This window comes from Homo sapiens, chromosome 14 (assembly GCF_000001405.40).
Source record: "Homo sapiens chromosome 14, GRCh38.p14 Primary Assembly".
In the NCBI taxonomy this organism is placed as follows: domain Eukaryota; kingdom Metazoa; phylum Chordata; class Mammalia; order Primates; family Hominidae; genus Homo; species Homo sapiens.
Window position 1 is genome coordinate 23549126 of NC_000014.9, and position 8218 is coordinate 23557343.

The 8218-nt window shown below is 53.3% G+C and overlaps 2 protein-coding genes across 17 annotated transcripts in view, besides 6 other annotated features; one reads left to right on the top strand and one right to left on the bottom strand.

The window, feature by feature from the left end:
- Positions 1 to 6827, bottom strand: part of ZFHX2 (zinc finger homeobox 2) — a 35096-nt gene extending 28269 nt beyond the window's left edge. For 4 of the 8 annotated variants that reach the window (XM_047431823.1, XM_047431822.1, NM_033400.3 and 1 more), the window contains exon 1: positions 2218 to 2640. The gene's annotated coding sequence lies outside the window, so the exon portion shown is untranslated. The other 4 variants (XM_047431824.1, XM_011537245.4, XM_047431818.1 and 1 more) reach the window with 2 other exon arrangements.
- The window catches only part of THTPA (thiamine triphosphatase), a 48512-nt gene that overhangs the window by 37366 nt on the left and 2928 nt on the right, over positions 1 to 8218 (top strand). The window contains exons 1-2 of one of the 9 annotated variants that reach the window (NM_001126339.3): positions 6857 to 7218; positions 7618 to 8179. The exons of 2 other annotated variants lie outside the window; for them this stretch is intronic. In NM_001126339.3, coding sequence (NP_001119811.1) covers positions 7633 to 8179 — 547 coding nt within the window. In that variant the 5' untranslated portion in view covers positions 6857 to 7218; positions 7618 to 7632. Of the gene's footprint in view, positions 1 to 6856; positions 8180 to 8218 lie in introns of those variants that run through there. 6 more of the 9 variants (NM_001256321.2, NM_001256323.2, NR_023314.4 and 3 more) reach the window with 6 other exon arrangements.
- Positions 1432 to 2094: an enhancer, noted in NCBI's record as "NANOG-H3K27ac-H3K4me1 hESC enhancer chr14:24019766-24020428 (GRCh37/hg19 assembly coordinates)". NCBI's record gives its function as "activates a minimal SCP1, AML or CMV promoter by ChIP-STARR-seq in primed H9 embryonic stem cells {active_cell/tissue: H9 hESC(primed)}" and the evidence as "EXISTENCE:reporter gene assay evidence [ECO:0000049][PMID:30033119]".
- Positions 2574 to 2813: a silencer, noted in NCBI's record as "silent region_5610". NCBI's record gives its function as "represses an Ori minimal core promoter by ATAC-STARR-seq in GM12878 lymphoblastoid cells {active_cell/tissue: GM12878}" and the evidence as "EXISTENCE:reporter gene assay evidence [ECO:0000049][PMID:35858748]".
- Positions 2944 to 2993: an enhancer, noted in NCBI's record as "active region_8172". NCBI's record gives its function as "activates an Ori minimal core promoter by ATAC-STARR-seq in GM12878 lymphoblastoid cells {active_cell/tissue: GM12878}" and the evidence as "EXISTENCE:reporter gene assay evidence [ECO:0000049][PMID:35858748]".
- Positions 6526 to 7460: an enhancer, noted in NCBI's record as "H3K27ac-H3K4me1 hESC enhancer chr14:24024860-24025794 (GRCh37/hg19 assembly coordinates)". NCBI's record gives its function as "activates a minimal SCP1, AML or CMV promoter by ChIP-STARR-seq in naive H9 embryonic stem cells {active_cell/tissue: H9 hESC(naive)}" and the evidence as "EXISTENCE:reporter gene assay evidence [ECO:0000049][PMID:30033119]".
- Positions 7019 to 7278: an enhancer, noted in NCBI's record as "active region_8173". NCBI's record gives its function as "activates an Ori minimal core promoter by ATAC-STARR-seq in GM12878 lymphoblastoid cells {active_cell/tissue: GM12878}" and the evidence as "EXISTENCE:reporter gene assay evidence [ECO:0000049][PMID:35858748]".
- Positions 8139 to 8188: an enhancer, noted in NCBI's record as "active region_8174". NCBI's record gives its function as "activates an Ori minimal core promoter by ATAC-STARR-seq in GM12878 lymphoblastoid cells {active_cell/tissue: GM12878}" and the evidence as "EXISTENCE:reporter gene assay evidence [ECO:0000049][PMID:35858748]".

Consider the following 8218-nt stretch of genomic DNA (forward strand, 5'->3'; position numbering starts at 1 on the left):
ATATTCTATCATTTCTCTTCCTTTTACCTTCTGTATTGCTATCAACACGTTTTGTTTCATTCTTCCAATTTCTTATTAATCACCCCTTGGTTCCTCCCCTGCCCCCGAGTCCGCATAGATTTTCCTCCCTTCCTTTGCACATCCCTCACGTCATACATTTCTCTACCCCATGTGTTTATTGCACCGACCACCCCTTTCTTTCTTTAATTCTGTTCACCTCTGAAATCGTCCATCTTCTGCCCATGTCTGCCTGCTCCTTTTACCTTTCCAAGCTCCTGAGGTTTGGAAAAACAATGATGGGCTAAAAACTAAGGTAAACTCTCCAGATCCTTTATCCACCCTTACTGTTCTTCAGGCTAAATGAACTTGGCTCCTTACATACGATAGCTTTTATTACACTAATAAACACTGCCTCATTAAAAAAAAATGGTGCTGGATCTAAATATGATAGTAGCAGGGGCCTAGGAAGAAGATGAACTAAAAAGTGAAGAAAAAGCAACTGATATCTAGAATGAACTGAAGGATGGGGGGCAACCAGGCAGGGTGGAGCTTAGAGTCCTAGGGAATGTCCCCTTACAAAATCAAAGTTGACAGTTAACTGACATAATGGCACTGACTGATGGAGGGGTTATATGCCCCTGGAAGCTCATTAAATTTATTTCTTGGCCTGTTTATGTGCCTTCACAAACCATACCCCACACCTCTCCCAGCCCTTTGCTTGCTGGTACTTTCTGCTGCTGGGGTTAAAATGCTGGATAAGAGGAAAAGGGATAAAAGAAACTAGAAACTTAGGGTGATCAAGAAGAAAAGGTAGGAAGAGGGCAGATTATGGGAACAAAGGTGGAAACTCAGAGCTCATGGGAAACAGATGGAAAAAAGGGGTGAAGCAAAATGGGGAAATAAAAAATATACAATGATACAGTGGGGGAAGGGAGTAAAATTAAGTCAGCAGGGAAGAGGTTTTGTTGTGCGAAGCTCCTGGAAAGGCAGATGACACGCATGAGACCAGAAGGTGAGGTTCTGATGAGGGAGACAGGCACATGGCAAAGGGGACAGTCAACAATGCTAGGAAGTTCCAAAGCTTCTCTGGTGATGGTGGAAGAGGAGGCTGTCCTGGCCATGCTGAAGGCACTAGAGGCTTTGGCGAAGACACATTTGCTCCATCATCCCACTCCTCCAGGCCCTGACTGTGACCACCACAATCATGACTGATAAGCAAATTCCAAAGTAGCCTGAAAAGGCCAGAGATATCCAGACAGACTCTGAAGGAGAGGGCATGGAATCCTAGACCGACAGAACAGGCAGCCAAGGCGTGACACATAGTGATAGAGACACACAAGGAGAGGATCACTCAGATGGGAAGGGTCACAAGTGGAGACAGTGACATACAGATCCAGAGATGGATGGGATGGAAGAGACAAGATGAAGAACAGCAAAACCAAAAGTCAGGGACACATGGACAGAGATCAGCGGGGCTACAGGCACAGCGAGGAAGCGTGGTCCTGTGCTTGAAAATGATAGGGCTGCTCAGAGGGGCAGACGAGCGGATGGGGGTGGTAGGATGGGCGTGCAGGACAGACACGCTTCACCTTGAATGGGCTTATGGCCTCCCCTCACCTACTCAACACTTTCAAAAAAAGGAATGGAAAGCCCAACTTCAGCCAAAAACGAACGAAGACTGAGAGTATCCACGTCCCCTCCCACTCCACGCCCCAGCGCGCTAGCCCATCCATCAGCCCGCCGGCCGCGGTTCTCCCATCCCACAGCCGGCGGGGGGCCGCCGAGACCCAGGACCCTCCAGGCTGACAGCTCTGAGCCCTCACACTCACCGGGCCTCCCCTTCCCCCCGGGATCCCCGCTCCCTGCCCAACTCGGCGCGGTCCGTCTAGGCTTTCCATACCCTTCGTCTGTCCGGCGGGCCTCTGCCTTTCCCGTTCCCGTTTCTCCCTCCACCCCCGCATCTCTCTTCCCCCATCCTCGCGCACGCCCTCTTCCTCCCACACCCCTGTCTGCTATCTCCCAGGGCTCTCGGTCTGTCTGTCCGTCCGTCCTTGTCCCCTCCCCCAGCCCCTTCCCGTCCCTCTCCGTCCCCTCCAGCGGCAGTCTCCAAGCGCCTCCTCTCCCGTCTCGAGCTTCCAAAGAGCAAGGAAGGGAAGAAGAGAGAGAGGGAGAGGAGAAAAAAACCAACCCAGCAGCATCGGAAATCGATGCACTTACACCTCAGCTGGAAGCAGGGACGGGAGTCGAACCGCGGCCACCGAGCAGCGCGAGGCGGGGAGGGGAGGGGGCGGCTCTTGGAAGGGACTTCTCCGATGTGTTGATTCCTCTTTTTTCCCCTCCTCCTCCCTCCCTCCAGCGCTCGCTCCGGGGCGTCAGGGACGGAGACGGAAAAAAATAAATAAATAAATTCACGGCGGTGAGGGAAGTGAAGGAAAATAATCAATGCTATTTGGCTGCGGCTGAAGTGTTTCCCCGGCTTCGTGAGGGGGTTTCCATTGATTCACCCTGGGCACTCGCTCGCTCCCTGCCTCCTCCTCCTCCTCCTCCTTCTCCTCCTCGCCCTCCTCCTCCTCCTCCTCCTCGCCCTCACTCCTCCGCCTCATTCACTGGCTGGAGTCTAGGCGTCCCACACAATGGAATAATCAATACCCAGGCGCCCGGGGCTGCCCCACTGAGCAGGTGCAGCGACCCGCCCGCCGCGGCGCATGCCGGGAGTTGTAGTCTGTTCGCGCCCGCCCGCCTGCCTCGCGGGACCCAGGGCCGGGGGCAGGCCGGCCAGCCCACCAGGTCGCCTCCAGGTTCAAGCCGGTGCCTGCAAAGAGGGCAGGCCCCTTTAAACTCTTTTCCGTCTCCTCTCCTCTTCATCCTGTGGCCTGCAGAAACCATACATGTGTTTTGTTGTTTTGTTTTAAATCAGCTTCAGAACAAGCCCTGAGCCGCCCAAGGCCTCCTTTTTTCATTCTCTTCTTCCTGCCTTATTATTCCGCCTCCCCCATCTCCCCCCGCGAAATTGGGTACTAGAACCTTCTCTACCGCAGCAATTACTCTTTAGTCTCTGAGAGCTTCTGCCTCCTCCACACGGTTACATAGTCCCCTGAGCTGGGTTGGGGGAGGTTCGGGCTCCTCCTCATCTTCAGTTTATCGCTTATTAAGTGCTCCTGAATTTTTTTTTTTTTTTTTTTTCTGGAGACGGAGTCTCACTCAGTCGCCCAGGTTGGAGTGCAGTGGTGCGATCTCGGCTCACTGCAACCTCCACCACCGGGTTCAAGCGATTCTCCTACCTCAGCCTCCTAAGTAGCTGGGATTACAGGCATGCATCAACACACCCAGCTAATTTTTGTATTTTTAGTAGAGACGGGGTTTCACCACGTTGGTCAAGCTGGTCTCGAACTCCTGACCTTGTGATCCGCCTGCCTCGGCCTCCCAAAGTGCTGGGATTACAGGTGTGAACCACCACCGCGCCCAGCCCGTTTTTTTGTTTGTTTGTTTTTTTCTTGAGACAGAGTCACTCTGTCGCCCAGGCTGCAGTGCAGTGGCATGATCCCGGCTCACTGCAACCTTCACCTCCCAGGTTCAAGTGATTCTCCTGCCTCAGCCTCCCAAGTAGCTGGGATTGTAGGTGCCCACCACCATGCCCTGCTAATTTTGTATTTTTAGTAGAGACGGGGGTTTCACCATCTTAGCCAGGCTGGTCTCGAACTCCTGACCTCAGGTGATCCACCGGCCTCAGCCTCCCAAAGTCCTGGGATTATAGGGGTGATCCACCTCACCCGGCCGCTCCTGTATTCTAATAATAATTTTTAAGATTTCTTGAATGCACAGGGACAGTTCCAAGCACTTTTACATACATTGTTTACTCCTCTCAATACCTCAAGCATGAGGTAGATGCTATTATAGTCTCATTTATTGAGGAAACTAAGGCACAAACAAGTGAATTAACAGGCCCAAGGTCCAATGGCCAATAAGTAAGTGACAGTGCCAGGACTCAAAAACCTCCATGGTCTGGCTCCAGGGCCCATACTAACTGCTATAGCCTACTTCTCTTAAACAACACAACAAAACCCTGAAGTTCACATGACAAAAAGGAGAGATAAATGAACATTTTGAGTTTATACTATGTGACAGTTTATGACTGAATCCTCACAGGTAACTGTGAGGCAGGCCACATTTTCTCAATGAAAAAGCAGAGGCTGGCCGGGCATGGTGGCTCACTCCTGTAATCCCAGCACTTTGGGAGGCTGAGGTGGGTAGATCACCTGAGGTCAGGAGTTCGAGACCAGCCTGACCAACATGGTGAAACCCTGTCTCTACTAAAAATACAAAATTAGCTGGGCGTGGTGGTGGGCACCTGTAATCCCAGCTACTCGGGAGGCTGAGGCAGAAGAATCGCTTGAACCCGGGGGGCAGAGGTTGCGGTGAGCCAAGATCACACCATTGCACTCCAGCCTGGGCAACAAGAGTGAAACTCCGTCTCAAAACCAAAAACAGGCCGGGCGTGGTGGCTCACACCTGTAATCCCAGCACTTTGGGAGGTGGAGGCGGGTGGATCACAAGATCAGGAGATCGAGACCATCCTGACTAACAGGGTAAAACCCCATCTCTACTAAAATTACAAAAAATTAGCCGGGCATGGTGGTGGGCACCTGTAGTCCCATCTACTTGGGAGGCTGAGGCAGGAGAATGGCATGAACCCTGGAGGCGGAGCTTGCAGTGAGCCGAGATGGCGCCACTACACTCCAGCCTGGGCGACAAAGCGAGACTCCGTCTCAAACAAACAAACAAACAAAAATTAGGAGGGTGGGGTGGCACGTGCCTGTAGTCCCAACTACTCAGGAGGCTGAGGCGGGAGAATCATTTGAACCCAGGAGGCAGAGGTTGCAGTGAGCTGAGACGCCAGAGTGAGACTCTGTCTCAAAAAAAAAAAAAAAAAAAAAAAAAAAGCAGATGCTTAGGAAAGTGGAGTAGCTTGCGGAAGGCCAAACATCTAGAAAGTGAAGCTGGGAGTCGACCTCAGGTCTGGCTCCGGAAACTGGTCTTTCTGTTCAAATAAGCTGCTGCTTTTGCCCCACTGGATTGGATCTTATAACATAAGGAAAAATTAGGTCTTCATCCCAGGTTAACAAAACCGGAAAGCAAAAGATGGATGAAAAGCAGGCTTTAGGAGCTGGGGTTTCTTCTCTCCCTAACCAACAGTGCTTAACATGGAGTGGGGACAGAGGTTGACCCAAGCTACTCCAAGTTCAAGATGCCATTTGTTTATTTATTTATGCACAGGGTCTTGCTCTGTTGCCGAGGCTGGAGTGCAGGCAGTAGCAGGATCGTAGCTCACTGCCCTTGACCTCCTGGGCTCAAGCTATCCCGCTGCCTCAACCTCCTGAGCAGCTGGGACCACAGGCATGCACTACCACACCCGGCTAATTAAAATTTTTTTTTTTTTTTTTTTGTAGAAACAGGGTCTTCCTATGTTGCCCAGGCTGGTCTCAAACTCCTGGCCTCAAATGATCCTCCTGCCTCGACCTCCCAAAGTGCTAGGATTACAAGTGTGAGTCAACACACCTGGCCAAAATGCCATGTCTTTAAACCAGTGTCCTTCTCCCTATAATACCTCTCACTGGTCATGTATTTCCAGAAACATACTGGTGAGAGGGCAGGTGTTGAGAACATGGCACTTCTCACCCATCATAGGAAGGAGTCCAGGAGTTAAGAGCCACGGTTCCTCAGGGAGCTTCCTCACATGGAAGGTCAGACATATAGTTAGAGTCTCCAGATAACCATAGTCCTCAGAGGGAGTAAGAAGGAATCATCTCTATTAATATTTTGTCTCCCAAAGCATTCAAAGGGCCAACCCCCATGTTTTCCTGAATTTTATTTTTTTGGGGACAGATGGAGTCTCGTTCTGTCGCCCAGGCTGGAGTGCAGTGGCGCCATCTCAGCTCACTGCAACCTCTGCCTCCCAGGTTCAAGCAATTCTCATGCCTCAGCCTCTGGAGTAGCTGGGAACACAAGCACGCGCCACCATGCCCGGCTCATTTTTGCATTTTTAGTAGAGACGGCGGGCCGGGGGGGTTTCTCCATGTTGGCCAGGCTGGTCTCGAACTCCTGACCTCAGGTGATTCACCTGCCTCGGCTTCCCAAAGTGCTGGGATTGCAGGTGTGAGCAACCGCACCGGCCTTTCTGTATTCTAAATGAACATAAGTAGTTCTACACCTGACAAAAACTGCTTAGGGACCGCTGGAAACTCTGACAAACTCCTCAGTCTAGCACTCAAGGCTTTTCCCTCAACTGCATTTCTAGCCTCGTCTTCTCCTTACGTACCACCCAGGTGCTCTCCAGTTTCTGGGCCTTTGCTTAGGCTATTCCTGTCTCCATCTAGGTCTCCAACTGTTGAAATACCATCATATCTTTAGTTCCTGGCCAAAATACCACTTTATTCTCTGACAGAAAGTTTCTCACCCACTCTTACCCTCAACGTTCATGCCAGGAGGTATTAGATCCCCTCTAAAACTCCAGAGTAGCTAAACTGGACTTTATTACGCGCTGCCCCCGCCCCCTTCCCTCCCCCCACCCCAACCCCCCTCGCCACCATTGCCACTGGCCTGCGCTTAGCTGGCTGCTATAGCAGATATCTGTTGGACGGTGTGAATGGCTTGTATTCCAGGCCCATCTGCCTGCGTTGGGGGTGCGGCGGGGGGTGTTGGAGACGGGACTGGGGCTTGAGCTCCTTGCACCCGACTCTCCCCGCCGCCTTGTAGCCCCAGTTCAGCTTTAGGTAGAGTACCGCAGGCACCAAGTGCAGCTTTCCTGTCGCCATAGCGACGGGCGGGGCGAGATGGCAAAGTCTCCCTTTGGAACTACATCTCCCATCATGCATCCGCGCCTCGGGGTGCCTGGCTCAGCCTCAGGCATGAGACCTGTACCAGCCCCCGGGAGCCGTGCGGGGCCAACAATGAGGAGCAGAATGCAAGGGGCGGCCTCGCTCCCCTGGCCACCGCGGGGGTCGCGGCCTCCCATTACATAGCGCGTGTCTCGAGCCCTGGCCTGCTCTCGGCACCGCCACAACGGGCGTAATATGGCCGCTGGTGCCGGGACCTGCCGGGCGCGCGGAGGGTCGGGCCGAGGTCCGGGATCCGGAACTGCTCCCGGCATTCCTCGCGAGTGTATGGCGTGGGCTCCCTTCCCCCTCTGTGGGTCCCGCGAGGAGACTCTCGGGCTTTGAGGTGAGACCTGAAGTTCCGCTGGCCGGTAGTGTAGCAGGAAAGGGCAGGTCCTCCCGGGTCGTGAGCCAGTAGCCTCCTGGGGTGGCAAGGTGTAGAGAGGGGGGCGTTGAAAGGACACCCGCTACCCGGCCTGCTTTCTAGGGGTCTCTTTGGATTGAGGACATCAGCAGCAGTGGAAGGGATTTTACTGGAGACCTGTCACTGTCAGAGCCTTAAAATATCACCGACGGGGCCTTAATGTCACCGAGGTAGAGAGAAAAGGGCAGTAGCCCTAGAGACTATTGCGACACAGTGTGCCCCTCATAAGTTTTTCCAGGGAGGGGTTCTGTACTGAGTTGACGCCCCAGGAGCTGAGCACCAGGCTTTGCATCCTTGGGAACTCAGCAAACGTTTGTTCAGCCAATTGCAGGTAGCATGGCCCAGGGCTTGATTGAGGTGGAGCGAAAGTTCCTTCCAGGGCCTGGCACAGAGGAGCGGCTGCAGGAGTTGGGGGGCACCCTGGAGTACCGGGTCACCTTCCGAGACACCTACTATGACACCCCTGAGCTGAGCCTCATGCAGGCTGACCACTGGCTGCGACGACGAGAGGATAGTGGATGGGAGCTCAAATGTCCTGGAGCAGCAGGTGTCTTAGGACCCCACACGGAGTATAAGGAACTCACAGCGGAACCTACAATTGTGGCCCAACTCTGTAAGGTGCTGCGGGCTGACGGCCTGGGGGCTGGAGATGTGGCTGCTGTGCTGGGCCCACTGGGGCTGCAGGAAGTAGCTAGTTTTGTGACTAAGCGGAGTGCCTGGAAGCTGGTGCTCTTGGGAGCTGATGAAGAGGAGCCACAGCTCAGGGTGGACTTGGATACAGCCGACTTTGGCTACGCTGTGGGTGAGGTAGAGGCCCTGGTGCATGAGGAGGCTGAAGTACCAACTGCCCTAGAGAAGATCCACAGGCTCAGCAGCATGCTTGGTGAGGGAGACAGGCCCTTTTGTGCTTTTCCTGCTCCCC